At 51.1% G+C, this 23,616-nt stretch overlaps 1 protein-coding gene across 3 annotated transcripts in view, besides 3 other annotated features; it reads right to left on the bottom strand.

Annotated features, from left to right (window-relative positions):
- Positions 1,757 to 2,956: an enhancer, noted in NCBI's record as "P300/CBP strongly-dependent group 1 enhancer chr7:148930294-148931493 (GRCh37/hg19 assembly coordinates)". NCBI's record gives its function as "activates an origin of replication core promoter dependent on BRD2, BRD4, P300/CBP, MED14 and CDK7 cofactors, with strong dependence on P300/CBP, by STARR-seq in HCT116 cells {active_cell/tissue: HCT116}" and the evidence as "EXISTENCE:reporter gene assay evidence [ECO:0000049][PMID:35650434]".
- Positions 9,345 to 9,552: a silencer, noted in NCBI's record as "fragment chr7:148923698-148923905 (GRCh37/hg19 assembly coordinates)". NCBI's record gives its function as "represses an EF-1alpha promoter that drives an FKBP-Casp9 reporter gene in an ReSE screen in phorbol 12-myristate 13-acetate-treated (for megakaryocytic differentiation) K562 erythroleukemia cells {active_cell/tissue: K562(+PMA)}" and the evidence as "EXISTENCE:reporter gene assay evidence [ECO:0000049][PMID:32094911]".
- ZNF282 (zinc finger protein 282) overlaps positions 9,916 to 23,616 on the bottom strand; it is a 30,698-nt gene continuing 16,997 nt past the window's right edge. For 2 of the 3 annotated variants that reach the window (XM_006716151.5, NM_003575.4), the window contains exons 7-8: positions 22,345 to 22,458; positions 9,921 to 12,347 (exon numbers count right to left, since the gene is read on the bottom strand). In XM_006716151.5, the coding sequence (XP_006716214.1) occupies positions 11,512 to 12,347; positions 22,345 to 22,458 (950 nt within the window). In that variant the 3' untranslated portion in view covers positions 9,921 to 11,511. Of the gene's footprint in view, positions 12,348 to 22,344; positions 22,459 to 23,616 lie in introns of all 3 variants that reach the window. The other variant, NM_001303481.3, reaches the window with a different exon arrangement.
- Positions 15,332 to 16,321: an enhancer, noted in NCBI's record as "H3K4me1 hESC enhancer chr7:148916930-148917919 (GRCh37/hg19 assembly coordinates)". NCBI's record gives its function as "activates a minimal SCP1, AML or CMV promoter by ChIP-STARR-seq in primed H9 embryonic stem cells {active_cell/tissue: H9 hESC(primed)}" and the evidence as "EXISTENCE:reporter gene assay evidence [ECO:0000049][PMID:30033119]".

Below are 23,616 nucleotides of genomic sequence, written 5' to 3'. Positions count from 1 at the left end.
CTAAGCCACAGAGCGAGACTCCATCTCAAAAAAAATTGTTGTTGTTTTTTGTTTTTTGTTTTGAGACAGAATCTCGCTCTCTTGCCGAGGCTGGAGTGCAGTGGAGAAATCTTGGCTCACTGCAACCTCCGCCTCCCAGGTCCAAGCGATTCTCCTGCCTCAGCCTCCCAAGTAGCCGGCATTACAGGTGTGTGCCACCACGCCAAGCTAACTTTTGTATTTTTAGTAGAGAGGGGGTTTCATCATGTTGGCCAGGCTGGTCTCGAACTCCTGACCTCAAGTGATCCACCCGCCTCGGCCTCCCAAAGTGCTGGGATTACAGGTATGAGCCACTGCGCCCAGTCCGTTTTAAAAAACTTTTTTTTTCCTCTTTTTTTTTGAGACAGAGTCTCTCTCTGTCACCCAGGCTGGAGTGCAGTGTCGTGATCTCCGCTCACTGCAAGCTCCACCTCCCAGGTTCACGCCATTCTCCTGCCTCAGCCTTTTGAGTAACTGGGACTACAGGCACCCGCCACCACGCCCAGCTAATTTTTTTTTTTTTTTTTTTTTTTTGTATTTTTAGTAGAGACAGGGTTTCACTGTGTTAGCCAGGATGGTCTCAATTTCCTGACTTCGTGATCCGCCCGCCTCAGCTTCCCAAAGTGCTGGGATTACAGGCATGAGCCACCACACCCGGCTTAAAAAACTTTTAAATGAAGTTCACAGTTATTCCCATTAGTAGCATTGGTATTCCAAGAATCAAGAAAATAGACATTTAGTACTTGTAGCCTGGCATCTCTACATTTGTAGAATATGAATGCAACATGCAGAGCTGAAAATGACCTTAGACATCATCTCACCCCAGACCCTCATTTTTAGTGAAAGAAAAAAGTATTCTTTGAACAAACAAATAATATACATTGTTAAAATAATGTTTTAATAATATTTATCTTGGCCAGGTGCAGTGGCTCATGCCTGTAATCCCAGCACTTTGGAAGGCTGAGGTGGGAGGATTGCTTGAAGCCAGGAGTTGGAGACCAGCCTGGGCAACATAATGGGACTCCATCTCTACAAAAAAAAAAAAAAAAATAGCTAGGCATGGTGGCACACGCCTGCAGTCCCAGCTACTCGGGAGGCTGAGGTAGGAGGATCACTTGAGCCCAGGAGGTCGAGGTTGCAGTGAGCTGTGATCACGTCACTGCATTCCAGCCTGAGTGACAGAATAAAGCCCTGTTTCACACACACAAAAATTATCTTATCCTTTAAATTTGTATCATGTGTATGATTTATAGCATACATATTAGCCTATATAAGTACATATATGTATGCCTGTTTTTTTCTCAAAAAAGTTTATAATCCATGGCTTTATTCCACTCGTTAAGACTCTTTCTGTCTCACTGCCATTACTATCTTGCAAGTCCCTAGATGGCATGAACCATTTCTTTTTTTCTTTTTTTTTTTTTTTTGAGACAGGGTCTCGCTCTGTCGCCCGGGCTGGAATGCAGTGGCGCAATCTCAGCTCACTGCAACCTCCGCCTCCTGGGTTCAAGCATTTCTCCTGCCCCAGCCTCCCAAGTAGCTGGGATTACAGGCATGCGCCACCACGCATGGCTAATTTTTGTATTTTTTAGTAGAGACGGGGTTTCACCATGTTGGCCAGGCTGGCCATGAACTCCTGGCCTCAAGTGATCCAAACGCCTGGGCCTCCCAAAGTGCTGGGATTACAGGCGTGAGCCACCGGGCCTGGCCGAACAATGTCTTTTGTATTCCTTCCCTCACACTAACAATCCTCTGGAGATCATGCCCTGCTAGACTGCAGGTCAGTGAGAATCCTGGAATCAACACGCATTGGCTCAAGGTGCCTCCCGGCTGTTTATGTGTCTGTGGTGTGCACCCACGAACTTCTGCAGCCTAACATGGCTCCTTTCGTCCTCTAGGCATCGTGCCTCCCTAAGCTGTACCCATGTAATTCAAATGTGTGTTGCCATCTTCTTGCATACCAACTCCAGCCTGGTCTCAGTAACCGTTTGAAGGGTGAGCACCTGGCTCAAGCCAGCCCAATCATATGGGCCCAGTCATAGCACAGTCATTAAGCCAGCCCACCCTATGGGCCCAGTCATAGCACAGTCATTAAGCCAGCCCACCTATGGGCCCAGTCATAGCACAGTCATTAAGCCAGCCCACCTATGGGCCCAGTCATAGCACAGTCATTAAGCCAGCCCACCTATGGGCCCAGTCATAGCACAGTCATTAAGCCAGGGTGGATGTGTCCTGAGCTGGACCAGTCCAAGCTTTCCCCTGGGTTTCTTCTAACTGAGCTGAGGGAAAAAGCTAATTTCCTCTCTGGTGAATTATAACTATATGAGTCAGGAATAATCTTGTCCTCCATTTTTTTTCTTTATAAAGTTTTCTGGGACGGGAGCCTCACTCTGTCACCAGGTTGGAATGCAGTAGTGCAATCTCGGCTCACTGCAACCTCTGTCTCGCGGGTTCAAGTGATTCTCGTGACTCAGCCTCCCGAGTAGCTGGGACTACAGGCATGCGCCAGCACGCCCGGCTAATTTTTGTATTTTTAGTAGAGATGGGGCTTCACCATGTTAGCTACGCGGGTCTCAAATTCCTGACCTCGAGTGATCCACCTACCTCGGCCTCCCAAAGTGCTAGGATTACAGGCATGAGCCACCATGCCCGACCATCCTCCATTTTTTTTAGAATAAGTTGGTTTGAAAGAATGATCCCAATACAGTGAAAGGAGCAGAAATGAGAGACACATTTTTGTCAGTATCCAAGAGTGGTTCTTCATCAGTTACCTTTGAGTCTGTGAATGATTCCAGGTTCCTTCCAGAATGTTCCCTTTTCTTCCTGGTTGGCCAGTCAGCTTCTGTTGATTGCAACTGGAAGCACACTGACTAGTGAAAGAATGATGGCTCTCTGTATACCCAAACCGAATGGAAAGTCCCAGAGGGCAAGGAGTGCCTCCCGTCCTGTCTTTGTGTCTTTCTCAGCTGCACAGTTTCTTGGACTTGGAGATACTTCTAAAACCCCTGTGGGAAGTCAGGGGAGCGTGTGACCTAGAGTGGTGAAGCAGTCTTCAGGGACAAAGTGGAACCAGAGCTGGGGCTTGAGAGACCAGGACTTGGACACAGCTCCCCTGGCCCAGGACCCCTGGAGAACAAAAGTGGAAAAAACAGGGCATGGCTTGGAAGTGGTCAAGAGACAAGCCTGTAATCTCAGCACCTTGGGAGGCTGACGTAGGAGGATCCCTTGAGCCCAGGAGTTTGAGGCCAGTCTGGGCAACATAGGGAGACCTCATCTCTACATAAAATTTAAAAATTTGCCAGGCATAGTGGCACACATCTGTGCTCCCAGCTACTTGGGAGGCTGAGGTGGGAGGGTTGATTGGGCCTGGAAGGTCAAGGCTGCAGTGAGCTATGATTGCACCACTGCAGCCCTCCAGCCTGGTTGACAGAGCAAAACCCTATAGATGATAGATAGATAGATAGATAGATAGATAGATAGATAGATAGAGCAAAACCCTATAGAGAAAGAAAGAAAGAAAAAGAAAGAAAGAAAGAAAAGAAGAAATAAATGAAGGAAAAAGAAAAGAAGGAAAGAAAAAGAAAAGAGAGAAAGAAAGAGAAAGGAAGGAATGAAGGAAGGACGGAAGGGAGGGAGGGAGGAAGGGCTGAACACAGCTAGGCAAGTTTGGGTAGTAGGCAATAGAGCAGAGAGAGCTTCTACTGACAGGCTAAATGTCTGTATCGCTATCATAGGGGCAGTGTAAAGAAAGAAATGCTTCTTTAAAAACTAAAGGCAGTCGCCAAGCGCAGTGGCTCACGCCTGTAATCCCAGCACTTTGGGAAGCTGAGTCGGGCAGATCACGAGGTCAGGAGATCGAGACCATCCTGGCTAACACAGTGAAACCCTGTCTCTACTAAAAATACAAAAAAAAAAAAAAAAAAAATTAGCTGGGCGTGGTGGCAGGTGCCTGTAGTCCCAGCTACTCAAAAGCCTGAGGCAGGAGAATGGCATGAACCCAGGAGGCGGAGCTTGCAGTGAGCCGAGACTGTGCCACTGCACTCCAGCCTAGGTGACAGAGTGAGACTCCATCTCAAAAAAAAAAAAAAAAAAACAAAAAACTAGCTCCTGTAATCCCAGCTACTCGGGAGGCTGAGACAGGAGAATCACTTGAACCCAGGAGATGGAGGTTACAGTGAGCTGAGATTGCACCATTGGACTTCAGCCTGGGCAACAGTGAAATTCCTTCTCAAAAATATATATATGTGTGTGTGTGTATATATATATATACATATACACACACAAAAATTAGCCAGGCGTGGTGGCGCGCTCCTGTAGTCCCAGCTACTTGGGAGACTGAGGTGAGAGAATTGCTTGAACCCAGGCGACGTATGTTGCAGTGAGCTGAGATCACGCCACTCCACTCCAGCCTGGGCGACAGAGCAAAACTCCATCTCAAAAAATAAATAAATAAATAAAGAACCACTTCTCATCCCCAAATCCTTGAAGTGTGGGGCAGGGGCACTGGCTTTGACACTATATGTAGGATGGGTCTGAAGCTATTTTTCAGTTAAAGGATATTGACACCATCAGAATGAAAGGTATGGGGACACCCAGATAGTCAACACTGGCTTACACCTCTAATACTAGATACAGAACTTGAATCTTGAATGGGAGACATCAAAGGTAGTCTTTTTTTTTTTTTTTTTTTTTTTGAGACGGAGTTTCACTCTTGTTGCCCAGGCTGGAGTGCAATGGCACGATCTTGGCTCACCACAACCTCCACCTCCCAGCTTCAAGCAATTCTCCTGCCTCAGCCTCCCGAGCAGCTGGGACTACAGGCATGCACCACCACACCCGGCTAATTTTGTATTTTTAGTAGAGACAGGGTTTCTCCATGTCGATTAGGCTGGTCTTGAACTCCTGACCTCAGGTGATCCGCCTGCCTTGGCCTCCCAAAGTGCTGGGATTACAGGCATGAGCCACCATACCCGGCCCAAAGGTAGTCTTTTATAACAAAGAGAGTCTTCTGGTAAACCTATAGAAATTATCATGCTGAGGGGTGACGTGGATTTAAAATATGTCTAGGCCAGGCACAGTGGCTCATGCCTGTAATCCCAGCACTTTGAGAGGCCAAGGCAGGAGGATCGCTTGAGCCCAGGAGCTCAAGGCTGCAGTGGGTCATGATCCCACCGTTGCCCTCCAGAGTGAGCGACAGAGCGAGACCCTATCTAAAAAAAATAACACATTAAATTAAATTAAAATATGTCTAAAGAAGTTTGAACAGAGGTTCCCAACCTTTGGGATACAGTGCCAGCATCTCACTAGCAGAGTGACTCTTATGGAAGGAGACATCTGGGACCCTTGTCAGTGGGGGCTGGGGGCTGTGTATGATTCTGACAGATATTCAGGACCTCTCATCTCAAGAATTACCAGTTTAGAGATATGCCTCCCTAGCCGGGCACAGTGGCTCATACCTGTAATCTCAGCACTGTGGGAGGCTGAGGTGAGTAGACCACATGAGGCCAGGAGTTCGAGACCAGCCTGGCCAACATGGTGAAACTCCATCTCTACTAAAAATACAAAAAGTAGCCGAGCATGGTGGTGCACATCTGTAATCCCGGCTACTCAGGAGGCTGAGTCAGGAGAATCGCTTGAACCTGGGGGCAGAGGTTGCAGTGACCCAAGATCGTGCCACTGCACTCCACCCTGGGCGACAGAGAAAGAGCCTGCCTCAAAGAGAAAGAAAGAAAGAAAAAGATATGCCTCCCTAATGACTCCCTAGGAGGCATGGCCTCCCCCAAACCGTCCTCCTGTGCTCTTCCAAAACAGGGTTCTGGGCCTCTAGGATGCTCTATCGCATGTTTTTGCAGTAACAGCTGGATGGACAAATGCTGTGAAATTATAGGCACAGGCTGGCTCATCCTGAGCCTGGTATGAAGTTTCCTACTTTCCCCCTTTACTCCCTGCCAATACCCAATACCCAGGGCCCAGATGTCAGAGAGCTGGTCATGGTGCCCAAATCTTTGATCATAAGATAACTGCCTTTACCTGTGTGTTTTGGGGTGTTTTTCATTTTTGGTGGTGTCTGACTTAAACCTGCCTTCTTGAGACTTCCATTTCATCCTCTGGCCTCCTTTCAGCGCTATGCATTCACTGTTTCTGAAGAGTTCCAAAAGGGCTGCAGCTCTGTGGGGCCCAGACCACCAGCAGCTGGTCCACGGCCTCTGGCTCTGCCAGTCTTCTGCCTTTCAATCCCAATTGCATTCTCCCCAGTGTGTTTCACCCTTGTCCCACATTGCGTCCTCCCTCCTTTCCCTCTGCCCCATCCAATTCATCCTCTAGTCCCTGACTTCTCCATGAAGGTTAATCTCACGCTTATCGTATCATGAGCTCTGACTCCTCCCATCAACTCTGCTGTCAAGCAAATTGTACCACCTTAGGGTGCCAATTTCCTCTTCATGTCTGTTGCTCAACTCCGATCACTTGTACCCCCTGTGGTGCCCATCCAGGCTAGACACGTGCTAAATACTAAAGAGGTATTCAAGTGAACAAAATGCAGAGGCCAGCATCCTGAGTGTCACCATCTTTGATCAGCTCTGTGGTTAGAGCTCCCTACGGGACTCTCCTAGGGCCTGTGCTGGGGGCTGGGGTGACTCACGGTGTAGTTGAGGGGCACTAGTGCAGCGGGATCCCCCAACCCAGGATCCAGGAAACCGGAGACTTAGCCTTGACCATCACTAGCTCAGTATGGCTTCTACAGACCAGTATTTTCCCAACTTCTCAGCGGGATGTCCTGCAGCGAGCCTTCCAGAAGATCAGGCGTATATTTCTCAAGCCCCCACCCTCATGCAGTCATATGCTTTCTAGTAGTGTTGTTCTCACAAATACCTTCTCTCCTTTAGACGTCAGGCTCCCAGAGGGCAAGGACTAGGTCTTACTCTTCTTTGTTCCCTAATAGATGTTCATGAAACAATAACAATGCAGCCATCCGTCCATCCTCAATCTCATTCTCCTAACACCCTGCCTTGCCCTTTCCATAAAGTAAGGCACAAACTGAGGCCATGAGCATGAAGTTCCCTGAGCTGTCCACCCATCTCAGGAAACGTTCTACTCTCTTGAGCTTTTTGGAGCAGCAACCTTTGCAGAGCACTCCTTGTACCTGATCATCTGGTACAGTGCTGAGGAAGGAATGCTACAATCCAGATGTCCCTGTTAGAGCTTCCTAGGCTGATGAGGACAGAAAGCCCAGAACAGCATATCCTGAAATGAGGAAGTAATTTGAATGTCTGGGAAATTGAACACAGGTCTGTAAGGACACAGATGCAGCTTTCAGCAGTGGATACTTCCAGGAAGTGTGTTAGGAAAGAGTTTCACTCTTTATTGTGTCCTCTTTTCTTTTTCTTTTTTTTTTTAAACTGTTCGAATTTTTATTGCATGCATTGTGTGTGTTTTTTTTTGTTTGTTTGTTTGGTTTTGTTTTTTTTTTTGGAGACGGAGTCTCACTCTGTCACCCAGGCTGGAATGCAGTGGCACAATCTTGGCTCACTGCAAGCTCCATCTCCCGGGTTCAAGCGATTCTCCTGCCTCAACCTCCTGAGTAGCTGGGATTACAGGTGTGTGCCATCACACCTGGCTAATTTTTGTGTTTTTAGTAGAGACAGAGTTTCACCATGTTGGCCACGCTGGTCTCAAACTCCTGACCTCATGATCCGCCCGCCTAGGCCTCCCAAATTGCTGAGATTACAGGCGTGAGCCACCATGTCTGGACTGCATTGATTTTTAAATTAAAAGTCAATTAAAAAAATAGGCTGGGTTGGGCGAGGTGGTTCACACCTGTAATCCCAGCACTTTGAGAGGCCGAGGTGGGCGGATCACTTGAGGTCGGGAGTTAAAGACCAGCCTGGCCAACATAGTGAAACGCCATCTCTACTAAAAATACAAAAATTAGCTGGGCATGGTGGTGGGGGCCTGTAATCCCAGCTACTCCGGAGGCTGAGGCAGGAGAATCACTTGAACCCAGGAGGCGGAGTTTGCAGTGAGCTGAAATGGCACCACTGCACTCCAGCCTGGGCAACAGAGTGAGATTCCATCTAATTAATAAATAAATAAATAAATAAATAAATAAATAAATAAATAAAAGGCCAGGTGCAGCAGTTCACATCTGTAATCTCAGCACTTTGGGAGGCTGAGGTGGGAGGGTTGCTTGAGCTCAGGAGTTCAAGCCCAGCCTGGGCAACATAGCAAGACCCTATCTCTACAAAAAGTAAAGAAAAACAAAATAGCCAGGTGTGGTGATGCATGCATGCCTATAGTCCCAGCCACTGGGGAGGCTGAGGCAAGAGACTGCTTGAGCCCAGGAGTTCGTGGCTGCAATGAGCAATGATTGAATCATTGCACTTCAGCCTGGACAACAGAGTGAAATCCTATCTCTCTCTTTTTTTGAGGAGTCCCGCTCTGTCGCCCAGGCTGGAGTGCAGTGGTGCCATTTCGGCTCACTGCAACCTTTGCCTCCCGGGTTCAAGCGATTCTCCTGCCTCAGCCTCCCAAGTAGCTGGGATTACAGGCACCCACTATCACGGCCGGGTAATTTTTTGTATTTCAGTACAGATGGGGTTTCACCATGTTGCCCAGGCTGGTCTCAAACTCCTGAACTCAGGCAATCCATCCACCTTGGCCTCCCAAAGCGCTGGGATTACAGGTGTGAGCCACCATGCCTGGCCTGTCTCTGTTTTTAAAATTTTTTTCTTTACTCTAGAGACAGGGGTCTCACTATGTTGGAAGGGCAGTCTGAAACTCCTGGTCTCAAGCAATCCTCCCACCTCAGCCTCCCAAAGTGCTGGGGTTACATGAATGAGCCACCACGCCCAACCGGATTGCTTCAGCTCCAGAGGTCAAGGCTGCAGTAAGCCAAGATTGCACCACTGCACTCAGCCTGAATGGCAGAGCAAGACTTTGTCTCTACATAAACTACATTTTCTCAGAAGGAAAATAAAAATCCACCCCCAAAGCAAAACCCCTGTTCTGCTTCAGGATGTGGACTCCAGGGTCTTCACTGAGGATCTTCGCTGCCTGGGAGCCAGCAGAGGCTAACATCCTGAGTGTCACCATCCCCGATCAGCTCTGGGGATGAGGCTCACTATGGGATGCTCCAGCAACCTGTGCCAGGGCTTGGGGCGACTCATGGTGTAGCTGAGGGGTACTTGGTGCAGTGGTATCCACCAGCCTAGGATACAGGAAAGCAGAGAGGCTTGGCTCTCACTAGCTCAGTCCCTAGGTCTCCTTGGGAATCAGCCCCTTGAAGGTAAAATAAAGGGATCACACTGAGCCTTGTGCTCAGGTGTTTTTTTGTTTTTGAGTCGGGGTCTCGCTCTGTCGCCCTGGCTGGAGTGCAGTGGTGCGATCTCCGCTCACTGCAATCTCCACCTCCTGGGTTCAAGCGATTCTCCTGTCTCAGCCTCCTGAGTAGCTGGGATTACAGACACCCGCCACCACGCCCGGCTGATTTTTGTATTTTTGGTAGAGACGGGATTTCACCATTTTCGTCAGACTGGTCTCAAATTCCTGACCTCGGGATCCGTCCGCCTCGGCCTCCCAGTGCTGGGAATACAGGTGTGAGCCACCGCGCCCGGCCAGGTGTTTTAAACCCATGTCTCAAGTGACGTCTCCCCTCTCCTCACACTCCTGCAACCAAAAGACATTCTGACCTTTCCATGATCTAGATTAGGAAAATACTTCGTGCATATGCTTTTTAAAAGTGGCACACTACCCCCCTCCCCCAGCAACTGATCACTGGAGGGTCCCCTTCTGCTCTAACAAAACTCTACTGAACCCTGTCTAATTTCTCATCTCAATTTGCTTTCTTAAGATTTGTCTCCTTCAAAAAGCAGAATGAAGAAAAAAAAATACCCCATTGAATTGGATTCCAGTTCATTGAGGCTTTACTGTAGGCAAGCTGGAGAACCCCCAGCTCTGTGAACATGCAGTCTGCAATCTGGATACCTTTTATTTAATGTCAAGAATTCCCTTTGCACGGCAAAAAGGGGTCTGAGGAAAGCGGAGCAGCGTAGATGAGGGCGAGGGCGGAAGCAGGACGCTCGCCAAAGTGGTGCCGGGTGCCGGCTGCCCACTGTGATCCCGGCTGGGAGGAACGCCGGACCCACGGCAAGGGCAGGGAAAGTCATTTTTGACACAAACAAGGGTCCTGGGGCATACCACCCCACCCGGTGCCAGGCCATGCAAGACGCTGAAATGGAGACTGTGGCCCCTCGGGACGCAGCGCCCGGAGCTATGGAGCAGGTGCACCAACGTGAAGGGGAATCCTTTGGGCGCTTCCCGAGGCGCCTGCAGGGTGTGGAGCACAGCAGGGTCTGTATCCATGTCCGTGAGCACGGGCAGTAACAGATAGCACCAATTGGGAGGCCCAGGGCAGGAGAGCCTGAGGCTCAGACTCTAGCACCCACTTGCCCGGCGCTGCTGGGAAGAGACACGTGACGGCTACTCTCACAGCAAAAGCCTCTCCCTCGCCCCTCTGCCCTGGGAGAACTGGAACAAATCATCATGGTGAGGTCTGACCTGGGGCCCTAACTGCCTGTGGGGGACCAGGCCACTGTTGTGCAGTGACAAGATGCTGCTGCACCAGATTGAGGGGCTGGGGACAGGCTGGGGCCGAGGCGGCACCAGGAGCTCCCATGGAGAAAGAGCCCTCTGAATGTACAACCTGGGGCGTTCCGTAGCCAATCTGTTCCCGGCTCCCAGGAACCCCAGGAGCTGGCCTCCTGTCGCTTCTGGTTTTATCCGTGGGTGAGAGCAAGGAAAGGAAGAGAGACCAGGAAAGGAAGAGAGACCAGGAGGGCCAGGCCAGCAGCTTCCCGAGCAGCGGAGGTAGGCGGAGAGCGCGGTTGGGCAGCGCGCGCCCCTTCCCGTGTGATTGGGTGAACCGTCTCACCTGCCTCTCACTTTACTCGGTCACCAGGAAAATCCTACCCCACCTATCTGAGAGGGATAGGCCAAGGGTGAAATGGATAACGGATAGAAAACACTTAAAAAAGTATAAAGCGCTATTGAAACGCGAGGCAGTGTTGTCATCATGAAGGTGTTACCCTTAGCACATCCCTCGGCCTTCGCTTTTTTTCAGGGCGTCTCCTAACCTTGGGACCTGATTTCCTGATCTCAGAAGGGCTTCGGGACTCCCTGGTGGCTTCCCCTGATGACCATCTGTGGCCCAGTGGTCCCAGGGCACTCGAGGAGGTGTGAGGGCGGTGCCCGAGGACGCTCGGCTCCTCGCGGTCCCCCTGGCTCTTCCCCAGCAGCTGGGTCCACCCTAGATGAGCTGGGCGTCCATTCAGACCAGACAGATCTGGGGGATCCCTGCCCCACCCTGGGGGACCCCCAACCGGAGTGCAATGCCTGTTGCCGATTTCCAGACGGTGGCTGAGGACACCCGGCAAGGTGGTTGGTGCTCAGGCCGCCCCCGATCCACTCCGTCCGGCCCTGCCCTCCCCCAGCCCAGCCCTAGTCTCGCTCAGGAGGCGGCGGGAGCTGCCGTGGGGCGCCGGGGCCCGGGCCGCCGCTGTGCACGCGCAGGTGGTCCTTGAGCGACTCCTTGTAGCGGAAGCTCTTGCCGCACTCGCCGCACGTGTAGGGGCGCTCGCCCGTGTGGATGCGCTGGTGCTTGAGCAGGTTCTGCTTGCGGATGAAGCTCTTGCCGCACAGTGCACATTGGAAAGGCCGCTCGCCCGTGTGCAGCCGCTGGTGGTTCTGCAGGTGCTCCTTACGGCTGTAGGTCTTCTCGCACTCCGAGCACTTGTAGGGCCGCTCGCCGCGGTGCGTCATCTGGTGGCGGATGAGGCCCGAGTGGCAGTTGAAGCTCTTCTCGCACTCAGCGCACTCGTAGGGCCGCTCCTTGGTGTGGCTGCGGTGGTGGATGATGAGGCTCTTGCGCACGCCGAAGCTCTTGCCGCACTCGGGGCACGAGTAGGGCTTGCTGCGGGCGCCGTGCAGGAGGAGGCTCCGCCGCAGCCCGCCAGGGCAGCAGCTGCCACAGCCGCCGCCTGCCCCCGTCCCCGCCTCCGCGCCGCCGCCCCCACCGCCCCCATCGCCCCCGCCGCCCCCGGTGCTGCGGTCCCCACCCGGCGGCGCCTCGCCGGAGCCACGCTCCCCGGGCAGCACCTGGAAACCGTCGTCCAGCAGCCCTCGGCTCGGGGGGCCGCCCGGGTTCTCGGCCACCGCGATGGGGGGCAGGCTCTGGGGCTGGGGCTGCGACTGCAGCTGCGGCTGCGGTGGCTGGGGCTGGGGCTGGGGCTGTGGCGGGGCCGGGGGTGGGTTCTTCACCATCAGCAGGCTGTCACCTGGGGAGATAGGAAGAAGTGACATGCTGACAGGGGTTCTCGGCCAGGACCCCACACTGCTCCCGAAGGGGGGCCCAGGGAGCATGCTATCTGAGCCTCAGTTCCACTAACTACGAGGGATTGCACAAGGTGCTGGGCCACGATCTACGTGGCCCTTCGACCTGTTCGAAGCCACCCTGCTGTGGAGCCCAGAAACGGGTCAAGCAGGTGGCACGCAGCAAGGACAGGAAGTCCCTCCAGAACGCTGAGGGCTAAGGGGTAGGGGACCTGCTGTCCAGAAGTCATTTTGGAAGGCAGAATTTCCCAGAAACAACAAGACTTACTTGCAGTCTGATGGACAATGTTTTTTGTTTGTTTGTTTTTCCAGACAGGGTCTGGCTCTGTCTCCCAGGCTGTAGTGCACTGGTGAGATCATGGCTCACTGCAGCCTTGACTTCCTGGGCTCAAGTGATCCTCCCACCTCAGCCTGCCAAGTAGCTGGGACCATAAGCATGCGCCACCAGGCCCAGCTAATTAAAAAAAAAAAACAAATCTTTTCGGCCGGTCGCAGTGGCTCACGCCTGTAATCCCAGCATTTTGGGAGACCGAGGTGGGCGGATCACCTTAGTTCAGGAGTTGGAGACCAGCCTGACCAACATGGAAAAACCCCGTCTCTACTAAAAATACAAAATTAGCCGGGAGTGGTGGCCCATGCATGTAATCCCAGCTACTCAGGAGGCTGAGGCAGGAGAATCACTTGAACCGGGGAGGCAGAGGTTGCAGTGAGCTGAGATCTTGCCATTGCACTGGCCCAGGCATCCAGCCTGGGCAACAAGAGCGAAACTCTGTCTCTCAAAAAAGTAAATAAATAAAATACAATTTAAAAAGGCCAGGCGCAGTGGCTCACGCCTGTAATCCCAGCACTATGGGAGGCCGAGGTGGGTGGATCACGAGGTCAAGAGATCGAGACCATCCTGCCCAACATAGTGAAACCCCATCTCTACTAAAAATACGAAAATTAGCTGGGCATGGTGGCACGCACCTGTAGTCCCAGCTACTTGGGAGGCTGAGGCAGGAGAATCACTTGAACCTGGGAGGCGGAGGTTGCAGTGAGCTGAGATCCTGCCACTGCACTCCAGCCTGGCGACAGAGCGAGACTCTGACTCAAAAAATAAATAAATAAAAATAAAAAATAAAAAATAAATTTTTGTTGAGACAGGGTCTCACTATGTTGCCCAGGCTGGTCTCCAACTCCTGGGATCAAGCAATCCTCCCACCTTGGCCTCCCAAAGTGCTGGGATTACAGATGTGAGCCAGCACACACACTGACAATGCTCACTTTTATCTCAGGACAGTCTCTCAATAGGAAGAAAAGAATTTTATCCAAGGTGAAAACCATCTAGAGGCCCACAGGAATGGAATGCAGGGAGCTGGAAACATAAGCATCAGATGGGTTGGCAGTCATGTTTCCACTAAGCATGTGGGGCATCTGACTTGGGCAGGTGTGGGCAGCTGGGACATGTGAGTCCCACCCTGGCACCTGACCCACCTGGACCTTGGCAGCACCATAACAGGCCCTCCTTGCACTCGTGGCAGTGGCCACCCAACCTACCACCCCAGGAAATGCGGTTCTTGCCCCCTTTCCTCCAAGTGCACAGTTCTCCACCACCTTGGGGGGCAGTGGGAGACAAAGCCCAGGCTCTGAGCATCAGAATGGTGACGTCAGGCCCAGTCCTTCCCCCTCCCACCCACCCTGTCCCCCAGCCCAGTGGTTCTCATGCCTCACGCTCCATCACCTCCCTGGTCTTCAGTTTGAATTCCTTTCTCCCTAGAGGAGTCCTGCTCCCCAATTTAGGGGAAGCCTGTGGAAGAGCTCTGAAGAAAGAGACGGCCTCCCACCTCTTCTCAGCATCCTTTTCTCCGTGCTCACACCCCTCTGCCTAGGACCCAACTGCTCCCCGGAGGCCACTTCCCAGGCCACATCTGCCATGTTTCCACCCAGCCCTCCTATATTCGTTGGTGTTTGACTGAGGTCTGTCCTTATATGATACTCTTAAATAGACTGGGCCTGCCCTCCCTCTCTGTCTCAATCAAAATTGGCCTGGCAGAGAACCATCTCTGCAGGACACTGGCCAGGTGCAGAGGCCAAAAGAATTCTCTTCACATCAGTGCAGGATGCCTGGGAAGGGTCATCCCAGCTCCAGAGAATCCCGGGAGATCGCTGTGGCCTCTGTGGCCACGGCACTGAGGGTGTTTGCTTCTCTGTCTACCCAGTCCTGCTACTCTCACTCCTTCCCAGGTGTTATTCCCAGAGGACTTGCAAAGAAACTATATGCACATAAACTCCCAGGGGCTGTCTCCCGGGAAGCCCACCTAAGGCAGTCCTACTCTGACCGTCTTCCAACCCAGTGTGAACCTCAATCCACGTTCTCACCATCCCGCTATGCCCTCCACCTCCAACCTTTTTCTGCCTTCCTGACCCAACTTGGCTCTCCAGGCCCGGCAGCCCAGGCACTTGCAAGGGCACGGTGATTGCCTTTGCTCCGCCGTTGTGCTTGCCTGGAGAACTCCAGTCCTGTGACTGCACTCAGGCAGCTGAAAAACTGCACAAGCTGGCCAGGCACTGTGGCTCATGCCTGTAATCCCGGCACATTGGGAGGCCAAGGCAGAAGGATTGCTTGAGCCCAGGAGTTTGAGACCAGCCTAGGCAACCTAGGGAGACCCCATCTCTACAAAAAAACATTTAAAAATTAGGTACTGTGACACACGCCTGTGGTCCCAGCTACTCAGAAGACTGATGCGAGAGGATTATTTAAACCTGAGAGGTCGAGGCTGCGGTGAGCCGTGATCGCGCCACTGTACTCCAGCCTGGGTGACAGAGTGAAACCTTATCTCAAAAAAAAAAAAAAAAAAAACCCTCCAGGGGCCTCCACACAGCCTGGCATCCTGGCCCACGTCTCTAGTGGGTTTTACTTTTCCACTCTGGAATGATTACGTCATCCTTCCTCCTCTATCCTACGCCCCTCCCCCCCAACCCATGCATGGCCCTGAGGGCTTTTCCTTTCCAGTCACTGGCTGGTAAGTGATTCACATGCAAGCATGTAACCTAGTTATGGTCAGTAGGGTATGGGAAGTTTGCTGGGAGGCTTCTGGAAAGATTTCCTCATTCCTTAGAGTGTGCAGGAAAAGATGGGCTTTCCTGTACACTCATGTCTGGATGCGACGCTTGGGACAGCTGCAGCTGCTGTGCTACCAGCCTGGGGATGAAGCCACACCGAGGATGGTCAGGCAAGGAATTGGAAAGAACCTGGGTCCTTGAAAACATGCTGAGTCTTTGAATCAACTAAGCCTGAACCTGACCTACCTTAGGACTTCCAGTTACGTAAGAGAAGAAATTTCTTTATTCTTTTTTTTTCTTTTGGAGACGGAGTCTGGCTCAGTTGCGCAGGCTGGAGTGCAGTGGCGCGATCTCAGCTCGCTGCAAGCTCCGCCTCCTGGGTTCACGCCATTCTCCTGCCTCAGCCTCCCGAGTAGCTGGGACTACAGGCGCCCACCACGACTACGCCAGGCTAATTTTTTTGTATTTTTAGTAGAGACGGGGTTTCACCGTGTTAGCCAGGATGGTCTCGATCTCCTGACCTCAGGATCCGCCCGTCTCGGCCTCTCAAAGTGCTGGGATTACAGGCGTGAGCCACCGTGCCCGGCTTCTTTATTCTTTAAGGCAGTTTGAATCAGGGTTCTAAAGTAGTTGGGAGCATCTGACCCGAGACAATGGTCTAGTTATCTCCGACCTTAAAAGAACCCCCTCCCTAGGCCCATGTGGCCCGTGCCCCAGCTCCTCACATGTCATTTCTGTTCCTTTTCATAGTAAGACTCATCAAGAGTCACTGCACTTGCCCTTACCACTTCTTCACCTCCCATTCTTTTTAGATGATTCCAATCAGGCATGCACCCTTGCCATTCCACTGAAAAACTTTTTCGTTTTTGAGACCAAGTCTTGCTCTGTTGCCCAGGCTGGAGTGCAGTGACACAATCTCTGCTCACTGCAACCTCCACCTCCCAGGTTCAAGCGATTCTCTTGCCTCAGCCTCCCAAGTAGCTGGGATTACAGATGCCTGCCACCATGCCTGGCTAATTTTTGTATTTTTAGTAGAGACAGGGTCTCTCCATGTTGGCCAGGCTGGTCTCGAACTCCCGACCTCAAATGATCCACCTGCCTCGGCCTCCCAAAGTGCTGAGATTACAGGTGTGAGCCACCACACCCAACCTCCATTGAAAAACTTTTGCCGAGATCACCAACAATATCCAACCTGTCAAATCCCCCAGGCTCTTCCCTGTCCTGCATATGCAACCACTCATGGGTGTCTGACATAGTTAACCCTCCCCAAGAGATTCTCTTCTCCCAGCCTCTGTAACACCTTGCCCCTCTGGTTTTCTGCCATGCTCAGAGCTAAGATCTCTTTAATTCTTTGTTTACACTGTCCCTAGAACTCATATAGTCCTGAACAACCTAAGTGTAATAACTTGACTGGCCTTTGTCCCTGGTTCCTGGGAAGGAGCCTCTAAATCTCTGGATTTCCCGAGTGACAGGGGTGCCTTTGTTATTCATGGTGGGATCTTAGAGAGTTTAAGCTAAGGAGATGACAAAGGATGGGGCTGCCATGCTGAAAAGACCAAGCACGTGACTAAAGGTTTAGGGTTTGAGGCCCAACCTCCAGGGAGGGAAAGGGGCTGGAGACTGAGCTGAACCTCGTGGCTAATGATTCAATCAATCATATCTATATAAAGAAGCCCCAACAGAAACTCGGAACGCCAAAGCTCAGCGAACTTCCCTGGTTGGCAATGCTCTGCATATTTTCACACGTTGACATGCTGGGAGGGTGACACATCCTGACTCCACAGGGAGGGAACAATGGAAATTTCAGGCTTAGGACCATCCCAGACCTAGCCTTATGGATCTCCTTTTGGCTAGCTCTGATTTGAATCCTTTTGCTGTGATAAAACTGTAATGATATATATAGCACTTTCCTGAGTTCTATGAGTCATTCTAGCAAATTATGACGGGGTGATGGGAAGCCCAGAATTTGTAGCCAGCTGGTCAGAAGTGAGGGTGGCCTAGAACCCCCAAATTTGCAGCTGGTGTCTGAAGAGAGAACGGTCCTGTGGAGGCATGAGCCCTCAACCTGTGAGGTTTGGCCAATTACAGGTCGCTGATGTTGGAAGTCACTGCAACCTGTAACTCCCAAATCAGTCTATCCCCAAGCTCTCTCTTGAACTTCAGACTCCTATATTCACCTACTTGATCTGCTACTTGAGTGTCACCTCAAATTTTAATAGGTCCAAACTAGAACTCTTGACTCCAAACTAGAACCAGCAACACAGGTTCTTTTCCAGGGCTTGGCACTTCAGCAAACAGTACTACCATTCACCCACTTCTGTAGGACCCAGACCCAGGAGTCAGTCTTGATTCCACAGCCCCCACAGGCAACCCATGAGTGACACTCTCAAAGTGCATCTGAATCTGTCCTTTCTCTCCCTGTGCACTGCTGCTACCCCAGCTCTGACCACCAGCATCTCTCCACTTGGTCTGCATCAAATGCATGAGCCTCAGACATGGCTCCGCACCCCCCGCCAATCCACTCCTGAAATCCTATAAAAACGTAAACCAGATCATGTCCGATTTCATACCCTTTATTAGTCTCTCTCTCTCTCTTTTTTTTTTTTTTTTCTGAGACAGGGTCTCGCTTTGTTACCCAGGCTGGAGTGCAGTGGCATGATCTCACTGCAACTTTCACCTCCTGGGTTCAAGGGATTCTCATGCCTCAGCCTCCCGAGCAGCTGGGATTACAGGTGCCCGCCATGACACCCGGCCTAGTCTCCTTTCTTGTAAGAATAAAATCCAAACTCTAACTTGGCCCATAGGTCATACATGCTCAGGTGCCTCAGTCTACGGCTCCATCCTCCTCCCCAAAGCCTCCATGGCCCTGCCTTCACTTCCCTCTTCTTGGTCTTCTCTTCCCCCTGCAACCCCACGGCCGGCTCCTTCCCACTGCCAAGGGCACACTCAGTCAGGCACCGCTTCCCCTCGGAGGCCTTTCCTGACCACTCTGTCTTTGCTCTGCCTCATGTCCACACTCCTTCCTGTTCTCCCTGCCATTGTTCTCAGAGCATTGCTGCATCCTGGCTTTACCTTGCCTGCTTGCTGGCCTGCTTATTCATCCTCTTCCCACAAAAGAAAAGGTCTTTCTTCACTCCCAATTTTTTTTTTTGAGACAGAGCCTTACTCTGCCACCCAGGCTGTAGTGCAGGGGCGCAATCTTGGCTCACTGCAACCTCCGCCTCCCGGATTCAAGCAATTCTCCTGCCTTAGCCTCCCAAGTAGCTGGAGTTACAGGTGCCCACCACCACTCCTGGCTAGTTGTTTTTTGTTTGTTTGTTTGTTTGTTTTTTGTATTTTTAGTAGAGACGGAGTTTCACCATGTTGGCCAGGCTGGTCTGGAACTCCTGACCTCAGGTGATCCAACTGCCTTGGCCTCCCAAAGTGCCGGGATTACAGGCCTGAGCTACCACACCTGGCCCTTCACTGCTTATTCTAAGTGCTTACAATACTGTGTAACACATAGCAGGCATTAAGTAAATACCTGCTAAAAAAAATATAAACTATGAAAGGTTGGAACCACTGTTTTAACCCAATGTAGTGAATAATGTGGGAATTTCAAGAGGGTGCTTTCACGTCATATTCTGTGGGTGTTGGCACCTGGGAATGGTGGCCCAGCTTCAGGATCTTTACCACCTCTCACTCCGGAAGCACCTTTTAGCCACTGCACTCCAGAGTCCTAGCTACGCTTCCTGCTTCAGTGGAGGCACTGATGTACATTAACTTTGGGCAAACTGAATCTTCTTCTTGTCTTACACTAACATGCTGAGAGCGAGACTCAGTATACACTCATTAATAAATAAATTCAGGAGTCCCTTTTACAAGAATGTAATATCCAATTGGGTTGAGGTCTGCCTTTGAGTCAAACGGATACCAGTTATTTCCCTCTTACATATCCCAGGGCTGGAGAAGGAAGTTGGCAAGGACAGGTATCCCGTGTCTGCACTGTGTTCTCTACCCTGACTCTTCTCCCCTCCATCCCCTTTCCAGAAGACTCTTCCACATAATAGCATGGCTACCATCTGGCTGTCCCTGGCAACCACAATACTAGGTTGGTTTTAAACATCAAAGAAACCACAGATGACAGGCCAGTGTCAAATTCCAACACTGATAAATAGGAAGCAGGCTCACTTTGGGAGAAAGAACAGAGGTTCTGATAAGAGGCTGTCGTGACTTGGCAGGCAAGAGAACCATTTCCAGATACTCCTATCTCCTAAATTCTGTGCATTTCCTCCCAAATGCTAGGGTTCAAAGGTCCTTCAAATATAAAATAACGGGCTGGGCCTGGTGGCTCCTGCCTGTAATCCCAGAGCTTTGGGAGGCCCAGGTGGGAGGATTGCTTGAGGCCAGAAGTTCAGACCAGCGTGGGTAATATAGCAAGACCCTATCTCTACAAAACATTTTAAAAAATTACTGAGGCACAGTGGTGCATGCCTGTAGTCCCAGCTATTTGGGAGGCTGAGGCAGGAGCATCACTTGAACCTAGGAGATGGAGGCTGCAGTGAGCCAGGATCACACCACTGCACTCCAGCCTGAGCGGCAGAGTGAGACCCTGTCTTTAAACAAACAAAAAAAAGATAAAACAACATGAGGCAAATCATTCTATGATATCCAAACTTAAGTAGGAAAATGGTGGGGTCCTTTGCAAATCCTTGCAAGTTCTCTATGGGCCTTCCTAGACTGCTTTCCACACAGCACAAGTCCCCAAGAACAGGCTCCTCTAGGCCCACATGCTCCTAGCCAACTGGGAAGAATCAGAAGACAGCATTGAGGGATAAGGAAGGGTTTGGGCAGAATTTCCTGGCCCCAGGTCAGATGCACTAGTTCCTATGCCTTCGGGCCAGGGCTAGCAATGGTAGCCTACCAGCTGTGGAGGAAGAGATGGAGTTGGCTTTCTTCCGGTGCTCACCACCAGTTTCCTGGCTTCCCCCATCTCATCCCACCAAGCCAGCAGTTACAAAGAGGACCGCTTTCAATTCTACTTGAAATAAGGACATACATTGTTCCTATCTCGTTCCTGCCAATTCCTCCAGGCCCACACTGGCTCTTCTAGAACTAAGTTGTCTTATAGAGAGTGTGATCCGCTTGCCTGAGTTTGAAATGGCTGTTCAGAACCAGAAACAACCCATGTCCTCCGCTCTTACGTGAAGTTTAAGCTCCTTCAAGATGTCAGCACTGGGCACTATGGCTCATGCCTGTAATCCCAGCACTTTGAGAGGCCAAGGTGGGCAGATCACCTGAGGTCAGGAGTTCGAGACCAGCCTGGCCAACATGGTGCAACCTCGTCTCTACTAAAAATTCAAAAATTAGCCAGGCATGGTGGCACACACCTGTAATCCCAGCTACTCGGGAGGCTGAGGTGGAAGAATTGCTGGAACCCAGAAGGCGGAGGTTGTGGTAAGCCTAGATCGCACCACTGCGCTCCAGCCTGGGCGGCAGAGTGAGACTCTGTCTCAAAAAAAAAAAAAAAAAAAAAAAAATGTCAGGAAATATGGACAGGGAACACACATGCAGCTATTCTGTTAAGCCTTTGACCAGCCAGAAGACACTAGGTCAGCCATGTTGAGGGCAAGGGGATGGTACTGGGTTTTAGCGAGGAATATTAGCCTGAGCTAAGAATGTTCAACAATCCATAAACATATGCCTAGGGTCATAGGTCAATAAGGGAGCTTCAGAAAGACCCAAGAGACCCAAGTCTGGTGAGACATTTGGTTCCATACCTGTTGGGAAAACAATCCTCCCTTTCTCTTTGAGCTTCAGTGTGTTCATCAGTGACTCCGGGATGGTAGCTCAGGGATGCCTGGGGTACTTCTAGTGTTTTTTGTTTTTTCTTTCAGGTTTTTTTGAGACAGGATCTCGCTCTCGCCCAGGCTGGAGTGCAGTGGTGCAAGCATGGCTCATTGCAGCCATGACCTCCCAGGCTCAAGCGATCCTCTCACCTCAGCCTCCAGAGTAGCTGGGACCACAGGCATAAGTCACCACGCCTGGCTAATTTGTTAATTTTTTTGTAGACCCTGTGGGTCTCACTATGTTACCCAGGCTAGTTTCAAACTCCTGAGCTCAAGAGATCCTTCCACCTCAGCCTCCCAAAGTGCTGGGATCATGGGTGTGAGCCACCGTGTGCAGCCTGGCTAGTGTCTTCCAGCATGTGAGCCACCTGCTGCTGTCAACTGCCTCGGGCACACTGGCTCAGCAATCTCCCGGCCCCTCTCCCTTCCTCCCCTCCCTGCCATAAAGGGTTAAATTGTGCCTTCCCCCCTCCCCACCAAATATGTTGAAGTCCTAACCCCCAGGACTTCAGAATGTGACCTTATTTGGAAACGGGGTCATTGCAGATGTAGTTAGTTAAGATGAGGTCATACTAGAGTAGGGAGGCCCTGATCCAATATGACTGGTGTCTTTATAAGATGGCATGTGAGGACAGACACAAGGGAACACCATGTGACAACAGAGGCTTGCAGCAACGCATCTACAAGCCAAGGAGTGCCAGAGGTTCCTGGCACCCAGCAGAAGCTGGGAGAGGCGAGGGAGGAATCCCATACAGACTTCAGAGGAAGTCTGGAGCAAGGCCCAGCCCACCCCTTGATTTTGGACTTTCAACCTGTGGAACTGTGAGAGAATAAATTTCTATTGTTGAAGCTGCCCAGCCTGTGGTACCCTGTTATGACAGTCCTGGGGAGCTAATACAATATCACACTCCAAAAAGAATGGGAGTGCTTTGGTGCAGAACTTTGAAACGCTGCCATCAACAGAACATCACCCTACGAGGGGTGAGCTGAGAAGAGGACCAGCCTTCGTCCACGCCTCAGCTGTACAGCTCCAGAGAAGAAACCCCAGGGTCTAGGTGGGGACGTTACTCACTAGGGCCAGAGTCTAATCCAAGCTCTCCGTCCATTGAGTCGCGTGGTCCCCATGGGTATGGCTGCTCCTCCTGCTTGATCCATGACAAAATGTCATGTGCTGAGATGAGAGACTCTGTTGTCATGGAAAGAAGGCAGTCTTAGATTTTGTTCAGTTCTACTCGGCCTCCCATCAAAGGTTTGAAAACCATCCCATGCGGTGGCTGCAACCTGCAGGGCATGTTTTGGTATCGGTGTTGCATTTCCAGGCCATCCTCCTTACCCTCATAAGCCCCTTCCTAAATGGACTCTCACTGCTCGATGCATTTCAAGTTGGCCAGAAGGAGGCTTAGCCCAAGGTCTGTGCAGTGGCAGGGCCGGGATTAAAACCCAGATCTCCCAGCTCTGCCACTTAGCCCCAGAGGAACCCATGGGGCCAGGACAGGCCAGAAGAAAGCCCCAGATAACGGCCCTCAGGGCCATGGCTAACAGGTATGATTTAGAAACCAGCGATGGCAGAGGCTGCAACCAGAGGTCATTGATAAGAACCACAGTGAAGCAGGAAGGCCCCGCTTTCCCTCTGCCCTGGGTCCCCTCAATTTCTCTGTGGTGAAGTTGACAAAGTACAAGGAATCCTAGATTCAACTTCTCATCCTCTCTCCCTGGTATGGTGGGTAGGATGAGACTTGTGTCCTAACTACCAGGCAATGACACTGGACTTCTCAGCTCTGCAATCACATGGACACACACATAGGTCGTGGGCAGGTGGGGCTTCCATTGTTCTTTTATGCCTCCCTGAATGCCTAGACCCTCCCTACAAGTTTCTTGGGAAACTTCTAACTAGTATTCACTCAAGAGAAATTCCAGAAAATGTAAATAATTTTCTGACACAGAAATATATGCAGCTTTTAGATGCTTTTTGGTTGTTTTTATTGTTCAAAAATCAGTGCTGAATGGCCGGACGCGGTGGCTCATGCCCGTAATCCCAGCACTTTGGGAGGCTGAGGCGGGCAGATCATTTGAGGCCAGGAGTTCAGAAGCAGCCTGACCAACATGGTGAAACCCCATCTCTACTAAAAATACAAAAAATGAGCCAGGTGTGGTGGCACATGCCTGTAATCTCAGCTACTCAGGAGGCTGAGGCAGGAGAATCGCTTAAACCCGGGAAACGGAGGTTGCGGTGAGCTGAGATCACACCACTGCACTCCAGCCTGAACAACAGAGCAAGACTCCGTCTCAAAGAACAAAAAATCAGTGCTGAAGTAATTTTAGTATCAGCTGCATAAACACAATA

This window comes from Homo sapiens, chromosome 7 (assembly GCF_000001405.40).
Source record: "Homo sapiens chromosome 7, GRCh38.p14 Primary Assembly".
NCBI lineage: Eukaryota > Metazoa > Chordata > Mammalia > Primates > Hominidae > Homo > Homo sapiens.
The sequence above is the reverse complement of the archived record's forward strand: the minus strand, read 5'-3'. Positions and strand labels throughout refer to the sequence as shown.